Consider the following 20,941-nt stretch of genomic DNA (forward strand, 5'->3'; position numbering starts at 1 on the left):
AGTACAACTTGAAAAGTGTAAGCAGGCGCGGTGGCTCACGCCTGTAATCCCAGCACTTTGGGAGGCTGAGATGGGCAGATCACCTGAGGTCAGGAGTTTGAGACCAGCCTGGCTAACATAACGAAACCCCATATCTACTAAAAATACAAAGATTAGCCGGCCGTGGTGGCTGGCGTCTGTAATCCCAGCTGCTTTGGAGGCTGAGGCAGGAGAATCACTTGAACCCGGGAGACAGAGGTTGCAGTGAGCTGAGATCACGCCACTGCACTACAGCCTGAGTGACAAGAGTGAGACTCTGTCTCAAAAAAAAAAAAAAAAAAAGAAAAGTGTATTAATTCAGGATTGAGAATGTGCTCCTGCATAGAAGAGGAAATGATTTTCTGTGGGCATACAGGAAAAGTTTGACAAAGGATTTGAAATTTGAAGGATGAGTAGTAATTTGCCATGTGAAGAAAGGAAATTATGGCTAACAGACATAATGCATAAACAGAAGAAAAAAATGTAGTATTGGGTCAAGAGTCAGAAGTTTGGTGTAACTGCAAAATAAGGTAAAAGGGAGGATGGTAAAGGGACAGGTGAGAGATGCAGGTGGAAAGGACAAGTAGAAGCCAAATTTTGAAGTTTGTTTTATGACAGTGTGAAGGCATTTACACCTTATTCACTAAGATGGTGGGGAAATTAGTAAAGGCTGTTTCTAAGCATGTTCAGAATGTTAACACATAAGTTTTCAATCAGGTACTGTTTTATAAAAATACCTTTTTGATTTATTTGCCAGTAATGGCATGACCTCTGATTAATGCGTTACTTAGAACGCATTAATCTAAATAGCAAAATATCATGAGTCTGTTTAGCTTACTGATTTATTTGGGTTTATAACAATTATCATTGCTTTGATATTTTGACAGGTTCACAAATAGAGATTTGCAGTCATTTTTTCTTCTGAAAGTGAATTTAAAGTAAACTAGCAGATTTCAAACTATTCAGTAAACAAAATAGAATAAAAAAATTAATACTTTAAAACTTATAGCCTTATTAAAATGAACAATCTTTAAAATATTAACAGTTGATTTGACATGAAAGAAACTAAACATCTTAACTGAGTAGTAGTATGTTCTTTGGAATAAGTTCATATATAAGTAATCTTTTATCTTTGGACTTTATTTTTTTTCAAGAGTAGTTATTTCTTGATATATACATTTAAAAGTTTTTCTTAGAATGCCCATGATATTTTTAATAGCAGTTTTGAGAAATAATTCACATACCATAAAATTCACCTATTTAAGTTGTGCTGTTCTGCAGTTTTTAGCATATTCACAAAGTAGCAACCATCACTACTATGTAATTCCAGAACATTTTCTTCACCCCAAAATAGAAACTTCATATGTTTTAGCCTTCTTCCCATTCTACCCTCCCCGCACAACCACACGCAGCTCTAGGCAGCCATTAATCCTCTGTCTCTACAGGTTTGTCTATTTTGAACATTTTATATGTAGAGATCATATAATATGTGGTTGTTACTTGCATCTTTCTTTTAACATAATGTTTTCAAGGTTCATCCACATTATGGCATATGTCAGTACTTTATTATTTTTTGTTACCAAAAAATATTCCATATGTGAATGTATCACATTTTATTTATCCATTCATGAGTTGATGGACATTTGGGTTGTTTCTGCTTTTTGGCTGTTATGAATACTCCTGCTGTGAACATTTGTCAACAAGTTTTTGTGTAGGTTTATGTTTTCATTTCTCTTGAGTAGAATTGCTGGGTCAGAACTCTGTATTTAACTTTTGAGAAACTGCCAAACTGTTTTCCAAAGTAACTGCACCATTTTACAATCCAACGAGGATTCTAATTTCTCCACGTCTTTGGTAATAAGGTTTGGCAAAGATGTGGAAAAATTGGAATCCTCATTCGATTGGTTATAACCATCCTAGTGGATGTGAAATGTTATCTCGTTGTTTTGATTTTCATTTTCCTAATGGGATTGTGATGTTGAGCATCTTTTCATGTGTTTATTGGTCATTTGTTTATCTTCTTTGGATAAATATCTGTTCAAATCTTTTGCCCATTTTAAATTTGGTTATTTGTTGTTTTATTGTTGAGTTGTAAGAGTTTGTTACATATTCTGGATATTAACCCCTTATCAGATATATGATTTGCAAATATTTACTCTCATTCTGTGGGTTGTCTTTTTACTTCTTGATGATACGGTAACCTTTAGAGCACAAAAGTTCTTAATTTTGATGAAGTCCAAATTATCTTTTTTCTTTTGTTGCTTGTACCTTTGATGTCATATCTAAAAATTCATTTAGTCATGAAGATTTATTCCTGTATTCTAAGAGTTTTATAGTTTTAGCACTTACATTTTATGTCTATGATCCATTTTGAGTTAGTTGTGGTGTAGGGAAGGGGTCCAGCTTTGTTCTTCTGCGTGTGGATATGTCTAGTTGTTCCAGCACCATTTGCTGAAAAGAATATTATTTCCCCATTGAAATGTCATGGTAAATTGTTTAGTTTTATTAAGGAAAAATATGCATAACATAAAATTAACTGTTTTAAATTGTATAATTCAGTGGCATTTAGTACATGTACAGTGTTGTGCAGTCCCCACTTCTATTTAGCTCTATCTAATTTTGTGAAGTACTAGACATTTTCATCATCCCAAAAGAAAATCCTACACTCAGTCACTCCCCATTTTCCCCTCCCCTCAGCCTGGGTCTTTCATATAAATAGAATTATATATATTATATATTATAATATATATGGTATATATATGATATATATGGTATATATATGATATATACATGTGATATATACATATGATAATATATATGGTCTTTTTTGTTTGATTTATTTCACTTAAGCAAATTTTCAGGTTTCATTCACATTGTAGCGTGTATCCATACTTCATTTTTATGGCTAAATAATATCCCATTTTATAGATATACCATATTTTGTTTATCCATTCATCTGTTGATGAATATTTGGAGACTTTTGACCTGATATATCAGCATTCTGCTTTAGTTTAAAATTCACAAATAAAAGGAACACAAAGGAAAGGGCATTACTTTCCATTCTTTATTAAGAGGAAAAATATATGTGCAAAATTGTTCTACTTATCACGAAGAAGGCACTGCATAAATATTAGTGTCTTCTACCTATTACTTATTTAATGGGTGTCTTCATATCCACTGTCTCATTTAGACCTTATAAGAACATAAAAAACCACACATAGGACATTTAAAAAATCGTTAGCATTTTGCAGAAGAGTTATATAGCAAGTTACCTTCACTTATTCTTAGGAGAAAAGAACCACAAAGTTACATAGCAAGTAAATGATGGAGTTGATGTAACTGCAGTCTTTGCCTCCAAATCATGTTCTTTGCTGATAAGAAAATGTTCCTACACAAAAAACATCAGCTATTATGCCCTGAGTCGGTATACCTGATTCTCATGTTCATCTAAAATTATTCAATGAAAAATAATTATGCATACCTGTTCCTTCCCTATTACAATTGAAAATTAACCTAAATGTAGTTTAAACACCAGTTATAATACTGGTATTAATAGCAAGGGATAACCTCTGTAGCACAGAATTTTGTCTTACTGTGAAACAAAGCAAGATCTCTAACATAATAGAAGGATCATGCAGATTTTTTATTTTATTCATCATAATATACGCTAGCATACGTACCCAGGATAATTGTAGGTCTCAAAATATTTGTTGAATGAATGGAAGAAGTATATTGCTTGTTCTTTTCATGTGACCTGTGACCACATTTCATCATAAATTGTCACTGAACTCTCATCTTAACAGGTTTTGAATGAGCACACATAATGAAAATTCTTATAGTCTAACATTTATATGAATTAGTGTGCCTTTCATTTATATTACCTTATTAAATATGGCAGGTGTTATTTAATCTCTATTCTGCAGATATGTAAACTGAGACACAGAAAAGCTTAGTAGCATGCCAGATAGCAACCTAAGCCACAGACTCCTCATTTATGAATGTCTCAGTGTGCTATGATATAAATAAAAGTCATTAAAATTTAATTACCTTAAAATACCCTAATATTGATAAAATATATTTAGTAGTATATTTGGTAGATGTAATCCTTAAGATGTGACTATATTAACATTTCTATCAACCTAAAGTTTTTGTTTATGTGTTTGACTAGTTTTAATAGTTTAATATCTGTTCTTCTCTAAGATACTTTACATGTTTAACTGAATTTTATCCCACTCATCAGCTTCATATTCTCTCCACTCTCATCTTCTATTCTTAACAGAAATTCATTGGTTTTTAAAATGTCTCTAGACATCAATCATTTTACTTTTTTACTAGAATCAGGAATTTTCCTAGTTCCGCAAAAACATCTTTTTCAAAATTGCCAAAGGCTGCTTTAAGATACTTTGTCATTTTAAACCTAGTAGATATTTTGGTTTTCCTTTTAGGTGTTGACAGCTCTTCTACCACAAGCAGTGCTTCTCCAATGCCCAACAGTTATGATGCCCTGGAAGGAGGCAGTTACCCAGGTAATTTGTTTTGTGCTTGCTTGATCTTCATTTTGAAAGTTATTGACCATCAGTTGCCTTCAAATGTGAACATGTATTACACATAATAGCAGGCTATATTTTTAACAAGAAAAAAAGGACATTTTTCTGGCACTTCTCAGCCTCAACTTAATAGCGTTGTCACTAACAACTATGAAGCTTGTTTCTGGGGCTATTATTTTTTGTTGTTATAATACTCTTTATCTTTTTCTAAAAGATTTTCAGTAGCCTTTCTCTTCTTTCCCCTTCTTTTTAAAGAATAACTACTCCTTAAATAAATTTTATATTTCTATTGTCATGCTTAGGTCTTTGAATTTGAATTCTTTTCAACCAGCCTCTGAGTATAGTCTTTGACTCTTTGCTCCCTCAATGGCTTCTGGCTGCTTCTAGTAGGTAAATAGATGCTACCTTCAACTTGGGGGTAGGTTTTGGAGACATCACTTTTAACCATATCTGGAAATCACTTTAGCCATTACATTCAAGTACAGGAGTAGATAGTATTGAAAGAAAAAACTATCATTTCATTTTAATATACTGTGATTTTTCTTGCCCTCCTGTCTCCTATCACTGACAACCTGACAACTGTACCTGATCTCTCTCTCTCTTTTCCTAATGATTCCAAGCTTCAAAACTAACAGAAAAAGCAGTTTTGCCCTTCTTTTTATTTCTTATCTCTTTGTTGATGATCCAGGATGAAGTTTAATTGAAGTTGGAATGTTCTATACTTAAAAAAAAAAAAAACCCATGCTATCTTGCTATCACTATTCTATGAATCAGTAGAAAACTAATCTTTTCAGCTCAGTATGGAATTCCCTTGTAATATTTTAAAAATACTTGAATAAACGACTCAGTTTTTTGTAGTTAAGGATTTTTCCCCTAGGAATTTTGTGTGTGTGTGTCTGTGTGTGTAAGAAGTTGTAAACCATTCCAAAAACAATCTCTTATCAAGATCTTCTAGAAGAGTTGCTTCATTTACTAAAAGATGAACAACCATATAGTATCCCATGAGCTCTAGATTAATGTGAAATGAAATGTCTAGTGTAGTATAGTTGAAAGATTCTGGCCCTGCAGTCAGACTTTGGTTTCTTTGTATTCATTCAGTCAACGAATTCTAATCTTATAATGAACTATGTGTTGAGAGTATTTCAGTAACCTTGGACAAGTTTTCTTTCTATTTATACTACACCAAAATTAAAGAACTACGTGAGCATCTGTAGCAGTAATGTTAAATGAATTGTAGGCCTACTATATGTCAGGTACTAGAATAGATCTATAGAAACCTAGAAATATTATTCTTTCCTGAAGAAGGGGAGAAGATTTAGACCTTCATGTTTATTGGAGTGCAGTGGCATGATCGTGGTTCACTGCAGCCTGGTACTACTGGGCTCAAGCCATCCTCCCTTTTCAGCCTCCCAAGTAGCTGGGACTACAGGTGCACACCACCATATCCAGCTTTTTTTTTTTTTTTTCTTTTCATAAAGATGGGGTCTCACTTTGTTGTCCAGGCTGGTATCAAACATCTGGCTACAAACAGTCCTTCCACCTTGGCCTTCCAAAGTGTTGGGATAATAGGCTTGAGCCTTTGCACCCAGCGCCATTGTTTTTTTTTATTTCTTATGCTGATAACTTGTCATGTTAAGAGAACTTTCTGCCTATGTTTCCATCACCATGAGGAGGGACAAGCAGGAGATCTAAGGATTATGACAGCATGTTGAAGGTCTTATCCTTTTAAGAAGTCTGGGAGGTTACCAGAAAGCCAGTAAGCTGATCCTTGCCTAATCAGCACAAGATGATAGCAGAATGTCTAGGAGTGTATCTTCAGAATTAGACCCAATAAGGAGATGTGATTCTTCAAGAAAAAAAAAAATAGATTGATTCAGTTAAATGTTTCTAAGAATATATTTTTGCAGAATCCCAAATGCTGGTGAAGGATATCTTACGAACTAAAATGAATGCACATTGTAGAGTTGACTTCAAAATAGGACTAAACAGTCAATATGCCAAATTGTTAATAATGGTTATGTGTAGAGTTTCTTTTTGTTGTTACTGTTTTTGTATATGATATTTAAGTTTTCTGCAGTTTTTTTGTTTTCCACTTTCTGTTTTAAATTTAAATAAGGGCATTCATTCATTAAATACATTTTATTTGACATTTATTACATACTAAACATTGTTCTAGGAGCAGGACACTATTCTAGATACTACCTTTTTTTTTTTTTTTGAGACAGAGTCTCGCCCTGTGGCCCAGGCTGGAGTGCAATGGCGCAATCTCGGCTCACTGCAGCCTCAGCCTCCTGAGTAGCTGGGACTACAGGTGCCTGCCACCATGCTCAGCTAATTTTTGTATTTTTAGTAGAGACGGGGTTTTACCATGTTGGCCAGGCTGGTCTCAAACTCCTGACCTCATGATCCACCCACCTCAGTCTCCTAAAGTGCTGGGATTACAGGAGTGAGCTACCACGCCCAGCCTCTAGACACTATCTTTCATACTTGACTAACAGTTTTGCTACTGCAAATAATGCATATTTTTAGGGGATTATGGAAACATGCTACTCCTTCCATAGTTAGTTTTTATATAGATGGTAGGTTTAGATAAAGCAAATTAGAGAAAAGAGTAGTTGGCACCCTTTTTATTGCTTGCTTTGTTTTGTGGTGCTTAGTCTCTGCTGAGAGAATTTTTTAAAACTTTATTAACTTTGTGTGTGCGTTTGTGTGTATTATATAAATATATTCTTATCTGTTAGAATTACCAACTCAAGGGGCTCACACCTGTATGCTCAGCACTTTGGTAGGCCGAGGTAGAAAAATCTCTTGAGCACAGGTGTTCAAGACCAGCCTAGGCAACATGGGAGACTCCATCTCTATTTTAAAAAAAAGAAATACCAACTAATGTATCTGTTGGTGAAGTGATGTAAAATATGGGGTGGAGTTTCTGTAAAAAGGAATAAAAAAAAGATGTAGTATGACAACATGTAAAACAAGATAACAAAATATTGATAATTATTGAAGCTTAGTGATAAGTATATGGGGTTCATCATTCCCCCTACTTTGTGTGTGTCCAAAATTTCTTAGAATAAAAAGCTTTAAAAAGTAAAAAGGAAATGTCAGGGGTTATGGACTGGATCAGGAGTCCAGTCTTTGTGGAGTCTTGATTTTCAGTTGTTAACACCATGTGTTTCCATTTTTTAGATATGCTTTCTTCATCAGCAAGCAGTCCTGCTCCTGATCCCGCCCCTGAACCTGATCCTGCTTCTGCTCCAGCTCCAGCTTCAGCTCCAGCTCCTGTCGTCCCTCAGCCTTCAAAAATGGCTAAGCCTTTTGGCTATGGCTATCCAACACTTCAGCCTGGTTATCAGAATGCTACAGCACCACTTATTTCTGGAGTACAGCCCAGTAACCCGGTATATTCTGGATTCCAGCAGTATCCTCAAGTATGTATTCAGTCATATACACACATTGTAACAGTTATAAAACTTAATTCTGACAAGTTACTGGTGGGATTTGTACCTGTGATCCAAGTGGAACTTAGGTACAAATACATGTCAGCCTAGATCAAACATACATAGAATTTGATCTCAGCTTTTTTGTGTGTATATATGTAGAAAAAGATTAAATGAAATATAAATATCACATTTTTAAAGAGGTTAAATCTAGATCAAGATATTAGATATGATTTTATTTTTCTTCATGATATCTTTATTTTTCAGAGTCTACAATTGCAAGTATTAATTTTATAATCAGAAAATTTAAGTAAATGTTAAGTTTTTAAAAAAATTTTATATTATCAAGCTGGCATTCTCCTTAGAAAATGACAGGTAAAATGTGATTTGGTCCCTACCCTGCATTTGAAGAACTTTATGACACATAACTCACCTTGATGAGAGCCTCCACACACATAAATATGCTCATAGGCTCACATGCTCATTTACCGCTGAAGTGGCTACATTGTCTGGGGTCTAAACCGGTGGTTCGTCATCTTGCAGCCAGGAAAATTTAGGATGCAGACACACACGTGGAGTTTATGGGTGGAAGTTTAATAGGCAGAAGAGAGGAGAAGGAGAAACAGCTTTCTCCATAGAGAAGGGCCTCTGAGTGGAAAACACTGGCTGGAGGTGGATGCACCAAATTTTATAGTCCATCTTGAGGAGGCAATGTCTTATTTACCTAGGGCTCGCAGATCGGTTCGATTAGTTGTGACATTTACATGAGGCCTTGGGGGAAAGGCTGGTTGCCCTACCCTAATCTTATTATGCAAATGAATTATCTTTGGCCAGCACCATCTTGTCTGCTCGTGTGACTGGCAGATAAGGGATGATGGAGCTGCCATCTTGAACATGTCTAGCCCCTAGTTCCTGCCAGCATTCACTCTTGCAGGCTCCCAGCTTGCTTGTCTGTGTCTGCAGCGCGACTTTACAGGCTGCTCTTCGTTAGAGAATGGTTTGGGGCTGCTTTTCATTAAAAAGAAAAGCCTTACTGAGGATTCCCATACCCTCACTATCTGCCTAAGTGATTTCTTTTTAACTCCTATATCACTGCTGCTAGGACCCATTCTGACATGACCTTTTCTGGAGCCACCTCATAAACTTAGCAGTTTAACAACTGATATGATATTTATACAGTTAAATACTTAACAGGACAGTATTACATTCACATCTATATTTATTGAAAGAAAATAAAATACAGGGAAACAATTTTTTTTTTTTTTGAGATGGCATCTCACTCTACTGCCTAGGCTGGAGTGCAGTGGCGCTATCTCAGCTCACTGCAACCTCCGCCTACTGGGTTCAAGCGATTCTCCTGCCTCAGCCTTCCGAGTAGCTGTGATTACAGGTGCCCACCACCATGCCCGGCTAATTTTTGTATTTTTAGTAGAGATGGGGTGTCACCATTTTGGCCAGGCTGGTCTTGAACTCCTGACCTCAAGTGATCCGCCTGCCTCGGCCTCCCAAAGTGTGCTGGGATTACAGGTGTGAGCCACTGCTCCTGGCCAGGAAACAATTTTAATGACAAGAGTATTGCTACTTACAGAAAACTGTTCTCAGTTGACTAACCTTATAGAAATTTTATGGTGAAGTAAGAATGAAAATGAGAAATAGGATAATCAGTGAGGAGTAGTGGCTTACTCATGTAGTTCTAGCTACTCAAGACTAAAGTAGAAGGATTGCTTGAGCTCAGGAGTTTGAATCTTGCCTGGGTGACATACCAAGAGCCCATCTTGAGCAGGGGTGGGGCAAAAGAAAAAGGAAAATTATTTGTTTCTGGAATTTAACCTTAGAACTAAAGTACAGAGGAAAAAGGAAGAAAACTGAGAGACATCAGAGGAATATGGTTGGTTAGTACAGATTTCTCTGCCTCCCATTTTGCTAGATTTTCTTTATGGCTCTGTTGTTTCATGTGAAACAATTTTTAAGTCTGTCCTGTTTGACTCTTGTGCTTTTAGGCAAATTCCTATTTGGGGTTGTAACATATTATTTACTTAGAATTTTTATGATGAGAAAACCAGGTTCAAAGAAAGGATTGATTCTTGGGAGTGTTGAGCAAGGAGAAAAAAAAATTATTTTGAAATAGTAAATGGTCTTACATAATAACTTAGGACAATAGTCTGCAAACCATGGCCCTCTGGCCAAATCGGGCCCACTGCCTGTTTGTAAATAAAGTTTTATTGCAATACAGCCATGCCCATTCTTCTATGTTATTGTCTATGGCTGCTTTTGCACTACAGTAGTACAGTTGAGTAGTTGCAAAAGAGATCATGTGGCTCTCAAAGCTTTAAAATAATGACCTTCTGACTATCCACAGAAAAAGTTTGCTGACCCGTGACAAAGGAGTGTAGGAAGTATTTTTCATTTCGTATTTTATTTGGGAGGTTATTTTAGAAAAGTCAAAAAATTACCTTTGGGATAAGAGTAAAAATAAATATTCTACCAGAATTAAAAAATACAACATCATTTTATTCTGTAATCACAATCCTTTTTATATTCTGGGTCTAGTACAAGTGTTAGGAAAGTTTGGATAAAGGGGACAAAGATATACTAAAAAGTAACCTGGGTTATTAATCACACTTAAGTGAGCATCATAAAGCCAAAATATTTAGAAGTAGACTATTAGAAAGCAACCATTCCCACCTTTCTTTTTTTTTTTTTTACATAATTGGAAGCATACCATATGTACTTGTGTCTAGAATCTTTTGCTCAACATTATGCTTATTGTGTGATTGTAATTCATTCATTTTCATTGTTATGTGGTACTCAATCATGTGAATAGACCAGTTTGTTTATTTGTTCTATTGTTGATGGGCATTGGGGTAACTTTCCAGTGTGGGGCCATTATGAATGATGCTATTGTGAACATTTCTGTCCCTGTCTTTTAGTGAGTGTATATATCTAGGAATGGAATTGCTGGGCCACTGGATATTCATTTTTCAACTTTAGCAGTTAAAGCTAGACAGTTTGCCACAGTGATATTCTGATTTCTACCTCATTAGCAGTGTGTGAGAGTTCAGTTGCTTCACATTCTTGTCAACACTTGGAATTTTGACTTTCTAAATTGTAAATAGTCACCTTCCTTTCATTTTGTGAGGAAATAGAAACTCAAATAAGTGAAATCACCTGTCCAGTACCAGGCTTGGTTCTAAGAATGCAAAAGACCTTGCAGTACAGAATTAAGCACTTTTTTTCTCTTTAACTGGTAAGGATTTGTACAGTAAAAAATCATACTCAGACTTGATAGATGGATCTTTCCAAGGAAGATTACAAGCAGCTATTTTTGTCTGATCTGAATTTGAAATCATTTTTTGAACACTACTGTTTTAGGGTCAGTGAACAGTAATGATTTAGGTATACAGCTAGGACCTACATTTAAATTCTTACCTGTCTACTAAAAAAAGATTATAAATTTTCATCGAAGATTAAAATTATCAAACTTTTTTAAAAGAAGCCTTTTTTTATTTTGAGACGGAGTCTTGCTCTGTCGCCCAGGCTGGAGTTCATTGGCGCAATCTCGGCTCGCGGCTCACTGCCTCCTCCACCTTCCAGATTCAAGCGATTCTCCTGCCTCAGCCTCTCAAGTAGCTGGCACTACAGGCGTGTGCCACCATGCCCAGCTAATTTTTTGTATTTTTAGTAGAGACAGGGTTTCACTGTGTTAGCCAGGATGGTCTGGATCTCCTGACCTCGTTATCTGCCCGCCTTGGCCTCCCAAAGTGCTGGGATCACAGGTGTGACCCACCACGCCTGGCTCATTTATTTTTGAAGTTCCAGGTAGGGTAATAATATCTTAGCTTAGCTTTAAACAGTCTTAACAGTCATAATAAAGTTGAAATGCCTTTAAATGTTGTACCTAATGTAGTGCAATGAAAGAGCTCTGTGTAAGGGCTTTTCTTTGTATTGATTAATTTGAGATGACTTATTAAGTAGTGGGAAACCCTAACAGTTGGTTTTTGACAGGAAAAAAAAACACCTTAAAATTTGTTTTTTAGGGTGGAAAAACAGGGAAAAGGCTGATGTTTAAAAACAAAAATAAAAATTAGAAAAATATTTTCAGTGAATATATGAAAAACCAGATATAGATACTATATAGCTTTTAAAAATTACAAATTTAGTGAGATCAATTAGAGAAAATGCAGATAAACAAAAGGGAAAATACTAATAAATATTAACCAGTATTTCTACCAGGTTGTAAACAGCAATGCTTGGAGTCTGTCCTTCCAGGTTTCTTTCACTACACCTTGCTAGGGAAGCCAGGCAAGAAGCTGGTTGTCTAGATGACTTGTTTAAACAAACAAAAGAAGTTGAAAAATACAAATATCACTTTGGAAAATGTTTAAATTTGTTTAACAGTATAAGAAGAAACCTTTCTTATTATATCTTTCATCATTTTGGGACTTGTATGTTTTATAATGAGTCTCCCATTTGCGGGGCATAACTCAGTTTCAAAATCAACATCATTTTAAGCTTGGTGTGCTTCTGTGATCCCAGTTAAGACAGGAGAATCACTTGAGCTGAGGAGTTTGAGACCAACTTGGGCAATATAGCAAGAACCTGTGACAAAAGAAAAAAAAAATCCTTGTGTGTGTATATACACACACATACTTTATCATACATAAACGCACATGCATACAGTCATGTGCTGCATAATGACATTTTAGTCAATGATGGACCACATATGTGATGGTGGTCCCATAAGATTATAATGGAGCTGAAACATTCCTGTCAACTATTGACTTTGTAGCTGTGCTAATGTCATAGCACAGTGCATTACTCATGTGTTTGTGGTGATGCTCTGCATCAAACAAACCTGCACTTCGAGTCATATAAAAGTATAACACATACAGTTATGCACAGTACATAATACTTGATAATGAAAATAAATGACTACTGGTTTATGTATTTACTCATACTAAACTTTTTATCTTTATTTTAGAGTGTACTCCTTCTATTTATAAAAAACAAAAGTTAACTGTAAAGCAGCCTCACACAGGTCCTCCAGGAAGAATCCAGAAGAAGGCATTGTTATCACAGGAGATGACAGCTCCTTACATGTTATTACACCTTAAGACCTTCCAGTGAGACAAGATGTGGAGATGGAAGACAGTGATATTGATCCTGATCCTGTGTAGGACTAAGCAAATGTGTGTGTTTGTGTATTCATTTTCAACAAAAAAGTTTAAAAGGAAAAAAATTTAAAATAGAAAAAAGTTACGGAATAAGGCTGTAAAAGGAAGAACATTTTTTGTACAGCTGTACAATGGGTGTTTTACACTGTTTTTGCAAAAGTCAAAAAGTTATTTAGATTGGTGCAAAAGTCATTGCGGTTCTTGCCATTGAAAGTAGTGACAGGCCAGGCGCATTGGCTCACACCTGTAATCCCAGCACTTTGGGAGGCTGAGGTGGGTGGATCACCTGAGGTCAGGAGTTTGAGACCAGCCTGGCCAACATGGTGAAACCCTGTCTCTACTAAAAATACAAAAATTACCTGGGCATTGTGGCGAGTGCCTGTAACCCCAGCTACTAGGGAGGCTGAAGCAGGAGAATTGCTTGAACCCAGGAGGCAGAGGTTGCAGTGAGCCAAAATTGCAGCAGTGCACACCAGCCTGGGCAACAAGAGCAAGACTCCATCTTAAAAAAAAAAAAAAAAAAAGACAAAACCCACAGTTACATTTGCACCAACCTATTAAAATAAATAGTTTATAAGGTAAAGAAGTTATGTAAACTAATGTATTACAGAAGAAAGAAAAATTATTTTTCCTCCGGAGTCTCCTTCTGTCACCCAGGCTAGAGTGCAGTGGCACAATCTTGGCTCTCACTGCAACCTCCACCTCCCGGGCTCAAGCAATTCTCTTGCCTCAGCCTCCCAAGTAGCTGGAGGATTACAGGCGCCTGCCAGTACCACGCCCGGCTAATTTCTGTATTTTTAGTAGAGATGGGGTTTCACCATGTTATTCAGGCTGGTCTCAAACTCTGGACCTCAGGTGATCCACCCGCCTAGGTCTCCCAAAGTGCTGGGATTACAGATGTGAGCCACCATGCCTGGCCAAAAACTATATTTTTATAGGTTTGATAAAGCCTAAATGTGTGTGTTTATAAAGCCTACAGTACAGTAGTGTCCTGGGCTTTCACCTTCACTCACCACTCACTCACTGACTCACCCAGAGCAACTTTGAGTCCTGTAAGCTCCATTCATACTAGGTGTCCTATGCAAGTGTACCATTTTGTATCTTTTATACTATATTGTTCTTGTAGTTTTTCTATGTTTAGATATACAAATATCATTGTGTGCAGTTGCCTACAATATTCAACACAGTAACAGTGCTGTACAGGTTTGTAGCCTAGGAGCAATAGGCTATATCATATAGCCCAGGTGTGTAGTAGGCTATACCATCTAGGTTTGTGAGTACACTCTGTGATGTTTGCACAAGGACAAAATCACCTAACGACACATTTCTCAGAACATGTCCTCATCATTAAGCGACGTGACTACACACACAATTTGTGCATTTGCCTTAACTATTTCCTTAAGTGGAATTACAGAATCAAAACATTTAATTGTTTTTTTCTTTTTTTGTGAGATGAAGTCTCACTCTGTGTCCCAAGCTGGAATGCAATGGCAGGATCGCGGCTCACTGCAACCTCTGCCTTCCAGGTTCAAGCAATTCTCTTGCCTCAGCCTCCCGAGTAACTGGGATTATAGGCGTGTGCCACCATGTCCACCTTAATTTTTGTGTTTTTAATAGAGATGGGGCTTTACCATGTTGGCCAGGCTGGTCTCAAATTCCTCACCTCAGATGATCTACCTGCTTCGGCCTCCCAAAGTGCTGGGATTACAGGCGCAAGCCACTGCATCCGGCCAGCATTTAATTCTTTAAGACTTTAGAATTTCTCTCTACTCAATAGAAGTTTATTCCTACTCTGTGGCAGTACTATTCTAGGCACTGAGAATACGAGAGGAGGCTCAGTGAACCAAACAGTTCCTGCTCTTAAGAAGGTTGGTGGGAGGTCAGGATTAATAAGACAATAAATAAGTAAACAAATAAAGAATTAATTTCAGGTAGTTACAAGTGCTATGAAGTAAGACAAGTTGAAGTAGTTTCTGGGGTGAAAATGTGGAGTAGGTGGTCAGATAAGCAGCCTTCATTGTAGAAGTTAGGTTTGAGTTAACATATGGAAGAAAGAAAAAGCATGGAAGGATCTGTGGTTAAAGCATTTCAGGCTGAGTAAACTGATATGCAAAGACTTAAGGCAGGAACAAGTTTGACATGTTTGAGGAATAAAGTCCCAGTGTTGTGGGAATTCAGCCATGGGAAGAGTAATAGGGATGAGATCGAAGAGCTAAAGGACCACAGTCAGAAGCTTAGATTTTATCCGAGGTGCATAAGAGAGGTATCAGAGATTTTATGTAATAGGATGACATCTAATTTACATATTTAGAAAATCATTTGGCTGCTGTGTGAGGAATGGATTAGAGATAGGAGTATTTGAAAAGACAAAATGGAAACAGAGAGACAAATTGAAGTTCTGCCCTAATTCGGAAATTGATGGTTGTTCTTTGTGCTAAGGTAGTATCATGGAGGTTGTAAAAAGTGAATAGATAAGAGATAACTTTTTATATGCCAGTGGATTGGATGTGGTGGGTGAGAGAAAGGAAGGTGTCAAGAGTAACTCCTAGGTTTTTGGCATAACACCTGGGTAGAGGTTAGCGTATTTACTAAGATAATGAAGACAAAGGTCTAGGAATGGGAATTGAGTTGGCCATGTTAAATTAAAATACCTAATGGAGATGTCAAACAGTATTTGATCAGTGGTTGTTGGTCAAGTATGGAGAAATAATGTACCAATGTATACTTCAAGCAAGAATGTATTTAATTGCCCCTTTCTCTATATTGTGAAGTACCCCAGTAATTATTTTGTATAAGCAAAAAATTTTTTTATAATTATTGGTCATATGTATTTCTTTACTGAAATCCCTGTTTATATTTTTTCACCATTGTTGTGTGTGTCTGCAATAAGTGTAAACCTTTTGTGTTTGTGTATTGTAATTTTCTGCCATGTTGACATTGGTTTTTAATTTTAGTGTGTTTTTATTTTTTACCTTGGAGAAATACTTAAATTTTATGTAGTTATTTTGTAATTTCTTTCTTTCTTTTTTTTTTTTTTTGAGACGGAGTCTTGCTCTTTAGCCCAGGCTGAACTGCAGTGGTGCGATCTTGGCTCACTGCAACCTCTGCCTCCCAGATTCAAGCGATTCTCCTGCCTCAGACTCCCGAGTAGCTGGGACTACAGGCATGTGCCACTACGCCTGGCTAATTTTTTTTTTTTTTTGAGTTAGAGTTTCACTCTTGTTGCCTGGCTGGAGTGCAATGGCTCGATCTCGGCTCACTGCAACCTCTGCCTTCCGGTTTCAAGCGATTCTCCTGCCTCAGCCTCCCGAGTAGCTGGGATTACAGGCGCCCGCCACACCACACCCAGCTAATTTTTCAATTTTTAGTAGAGATGGGGTTTCACCATGTTGGCCAGGCTGGTCTTGAACTCCTGACCTCATGATCCACCCACCTCGGCCTTCCAAAGTGCTGGGATTACAGGCATGAGCCACTGTGCCCCGCCTAATTTTTGTATTTTTAGTAGAGATAGGGTTTCAACATGTTGGCCAAACTGGCCTCGAACTCCTGAAGTTAAGTGACGCGCCCACTTCGGCCTCCCAAAGTGCTGGGATTGCAGGCTTGAGCCACTGCGCCTGGCCTCATTTTATAATTTCTTTTATTGTTTTTACCTTTGTTTGTATCCTTTAAAAGGTCTTTTCAGCGTTAAAATCAGGAAAGTATTCTAGCTGGTTTTTTTTAGTTCTTTGATGATTTTGGTTTTGCATCATTAATCCATCTAAGGTTTTATTTTGGTACATAATGTAAATAAGTCTCATTCTCTCCCCTTCACCTGCAGAATGGTTTACCCTTAGTTCACTATCATTTATTAGATAATGTATCTTCTCTCTCTGATTAAATATCCTACCTTTATTTTATATCCTAAATTCTTAGAAACTTGGGTCTTTTGGGGGGTTTTCTGTTATATGCTGCTATTAATCCATGTGATCATTTTTCTGATTTTTTACAGCTCTACAGAAAAAAAGAGAATCCTTTTTATTATCCAGTCATTTTTTTCCTTAACATCACCACCTTCAGTTACTGTCAACATTTTGCTATATTTGTTTCATATGGGTCCACACTGCCTACCATCCCACCACCACTTTTCTTGCTGAGGATTTTAAAATTAGGGAGGTGGACAGCATTTCTTACATAACCACAATACTACTATCATAGCCAACAAAATTAATAATTTCTAAATGTCATTTAAAATTCAGTCTATATTCAGATTTTCCAGACTGTTTCAAAAATGCCTTTGTATACTTTGTTCACATTAAAACCCAAATAATAGTTTACTAATTCTATTTGCTTATGCCTGTTAATTCTTGTTTTAATTTAAAACAAGCCCCACTCCCTTTTTTTAATGCCTTTGATTTTGGTAAAATAACTGAGTCTGTTGTTCTGTAGAATGTCCCTCATTCTGAATTTAGCTGTTTGCTTCTTTGTGGTATCATTTAACTTATTTCTGTTTCATTTTCTATGGATTGGGAGTTAGATCTAATGGTTGATTATATTTAGGTGTATTACTTCAATTATTTATTTAGTTAGGCCATAATATGTATTTTGGTGATGTACACTTCAAAATAATATCTGTTTATTTCACTTATACCACTGCTAGGCTTGATTAGTGCCTCATACAATGACAGCCTGATCCTTTAATTGTGAAGTTCCTCATTAAGCTTTCACCTAGTGGCTTTATCATCTGTTGATATCTATTGGTCTTCCATTACAAGTGACCACTACCTGAATCATTTATTTCAGTATGGATTGTTAAATAGTGATTTTTCTGAATTTATCATTATCCATATATTAGCTGGAATTCTATAGCACATTAACATAATGGAGTGCTCCGTAGCTGTAAAAAGAAATGCAGAAGGTATAGACATAGAGTTATTGCCAGGACATTTTTTTAGTTGAAAAGGGGGCTATATTTACAACAGTATATATGTTTAGCTTATATAAATAGAAACAATGGAAGGATTAAACTATAAGCTAATAAAAATAGTTAACTATAGGCAGAGGTGTCAAGAGTGAAATAAGATATCTCTGAATACCTTATTGTATTAGTACCTTATTGTAATGTTTTTTGACATTAGAATTATATAAATGTTATGTTTACTCAAAAACCAAAAAGATTAAAAATGATCCTTAAATATGAAAAACAAAATAAAATTAAAAAACCTGTTTATCAAGTTGGATACATTCTAATACCAAGAAAAGTACTGTTCAAGCTGATCTTAAAACCTAGTATTTTATACATCTCAGTGGGATATAACGTAAGGACAAAAAGAACTATGAAAAATTTAATAATCTGACATAATATTGGTGGTGTTATAAATGTATATTATAGGATAAAATAATGCTGTTACCATTAGAAATAAAGATTTGTAGCAAAAGAGAACAGAGATACCGGTATAAAATCAAAGAACTTAAGTAAAAACCCCGTCATCTTAAATTTGTATTGGAACTGTCAACGTGGACTCATTATTTGCTTCTACTTTAACATGTGTATTTTCCATCTTTACCTGTTGCCAAGTATCTGGAAGTAATAACAGCACACTAGCAATAAGCACCTTTATCATCCAGATTATGGTTTTTAGATATCATCTCTACTTAAAAGGAGCCAAGATTCCTTTTTAGACAAACAATTCTAGATTTGAAGTAAAAGAGTATAAAATAGTGTGTAAGAAAGCAAGGAAACTATCAAAGGCTAGTTAGGTTCATATAAAAGGACACTGGGGCCATCTTGAAAGGGCTTTCACTGGCTAAAGATTGGGTAGTTTGAACATCATAAGAATAATGACTGTAATTCATTACATCAGTTTGAGATAACAAGCCATTAATTCATGATAATATTAAAAACATAGGAAACAAAATAAGGCAAAACCTATTGAACACGATTGTACATTTCTATGGTACCAACTCATTATTGTGAAAGTTGGTAATTGGGGGAGGGGAACCTTGAGAACAGTGGGGCACTTATCGTGTTTTTCAAGTATAAACTGTATTCAGGGAAACCAAATTGCTCATGTTGAAAAGCATTGTTGCTGAAATTTCATTGCGAGGGTTAACCTTGCTAATAAGATTCAAATTTATTCAGTACTTTTGCTTTGAGTTTTTTTCAAGTGTGCTTTAGATTGACTGCATACCAAGCCAGATTTAAATTTTCTTACCTTTTTGCTTTTTCTGTATGTTGAGATATGTAGTATATATAAGAAAATTTATTTATGTTTTATTGTTCTTTTATTTTGTTTTGAATTGCTCTTTCAGCAGTATCCTGGTGTGAACCAGCTATCCTCCAGTATAGGAGGATTGAGTCTTCAGAGTTCTCCACAACCAGAAAGCCTGAGACCTGTAAACCTTACTCAGGAGAGGAATATTTTACCTATGACTCCTGTTTGGGCTCCTGTACCTAACTTGAATGCAGACCTCAAAAAATTAAACTGTAGCCCAGAGTAGGTATTTATTTATTTTATAATCTTTCTTAAGTGATGAAAACATTGTATGACTTTCAAAAATAGTAAAAGTAGTATGTTATTTCTTCGGTTGGAAGTTTCATTAATGTTGACTTTTCTCTTTTAGTTTGTATAGATGTAAAATTTGACTTAGGTCATCTCTTTTTGTTCCCATCTCTGTCTCAATCCAGTCCCTTCCCCCCATCACCTAATGTTAGGGAAATTATTTCTATTTGAATGAAGGGTTTCAGGAACCCAAATATAACTATATTTTTTATTTCTTAAATCTTTTTCCTCACTTTTCAATAATAATAACTTCTGATATCTTTTCAATAAGGACAGATATTTGAAATTTCAGGCTTTGCTTGAAAAGAACATAGACCTCACTTATGTAATCTCAAGAACAGGTTTAGATAAATGGTTTATCTCAGAATTTTCTTTTCCCACTCAATATAGAGTATGAAGACCTTTGACTCCCAGGCTTAATCCAGTCTGAATCTAGACTGGATTTCCTTTAATAGAGAAGTTTAGCTGGCAGACTGCACTGGCAACCACCAAGCCCTGGTGTACCTTTGTGTGAATGAGCTCTGTTACTCACTTCACAGTGCCTCATGTCTTTGTTCTTGCATGCTTTTAGTTCTGTATCCTATGAATAGGATATCCCCCTGGTCCTAGTTTTTTTCTTTTTTTGGAAGACATCCTCCTGCATCTGGAATTTCTCCTCCTCATAAAGTAAACACTGATTCACAGAACAACATTGTCTTCCTTTTTTTTTTTTTTTTGATGGGGTCTCAGTCTGTCACCCAGGCTGGAGTGCAGTGGCCCGATCTTAGCTGACTGCAACCTCCGCCTCCCAGGTTCAAGTGATTCTCGTGCCTCAGCCACCAAGTAGCTGAGATTACGGGTGTGCACCATGATGCGTGTCTAATTTTTGTATTTTTATTAGAGATGGGGTTTCACCATGTTGGGCAGACTGTTCTCGAACTCCTGACTTCAGGTGACCTGCCCGCCTTGGCCTCCCAAAGTGGTGGGATTATAGGTGTGATCCACCGCGCTTGGCCAACATTGTCTTCTTCCTTGCATTAGGAGAATTAGTGTTCTTTAGAGCCAATATTTCCTCTTTCTTTTTTTCTTTCTTTTTTTTATTTTTGAGACGGAGTTTCGCTGTTGTTGCCCAGGCTGGAGTGCAATAACGCCATCTCGGCTCACCGCAATCTCCGCCTCCCAGGTTCAAGTGATTCTCCTGCTTTAGCCTCCCGAGTACCTGGGATTACAGGCATGTGCCACCACAC

General features: G+C 36.3%; 1 protein-coding gene and 1 non-coding gene across 20 annotated transcripts in view; both read left to right on the plus strand.

The window, feature by feature from the left end:
* The window catches only part of SEC24B (SEC24 homolog B, COPII component), a 107,082-nt gene that overhangs the window by 53,049 nt on the left and 33,092 nt on the right, over positions 1-20,941 (plus strand). For 10 of the 19 annotated variants that reach the window (NM_006323.5, NM_001042734.4, XM_017007652.3 and 7 more), the window contains 3 exons: positions 4,464-4,544; positions 7,752-7,993; positions 19,465-19,649. In NM_006323.5, the coding sequence (NP_006314.2) occupies positions 4,464-4,544; positions 7,752-7,993; positions 19,465-19,649 (508 nt within the window). Of the gene's footprint in view, positions 1-4,463; positions 4,545-7,751; positions 7,994-13,034; positions 13,192-19,464; positions 19,650-20,941 lie in introns of those variants that run through there. The other 9 variants (NM_001300813.3, NM_001318085.2, NM_001318086.2 and 6 more) reach the window with 2 other exon arrangements.
* MIR576 (microRNA 576) lies at positions 1,835-1,932 on the plus strand. Its single transcript, NR_030302.1, has one exon. It is a non-coding gene; the product is annotated as a microRNA 576 (primary transcript).

This window comes from Homo sapiens, chromosome 4 (genome assembly GCF_000001405.40).
Source record: "Homo sapiens chromosome 4, GRCh38.p14 Primary Assembly".
NCBI classification, from domain to species: Eukaryota; Metazoa; Chordata; class Mammalia; order Primates; family Hominidae; genus Homo; species Homo sapiens.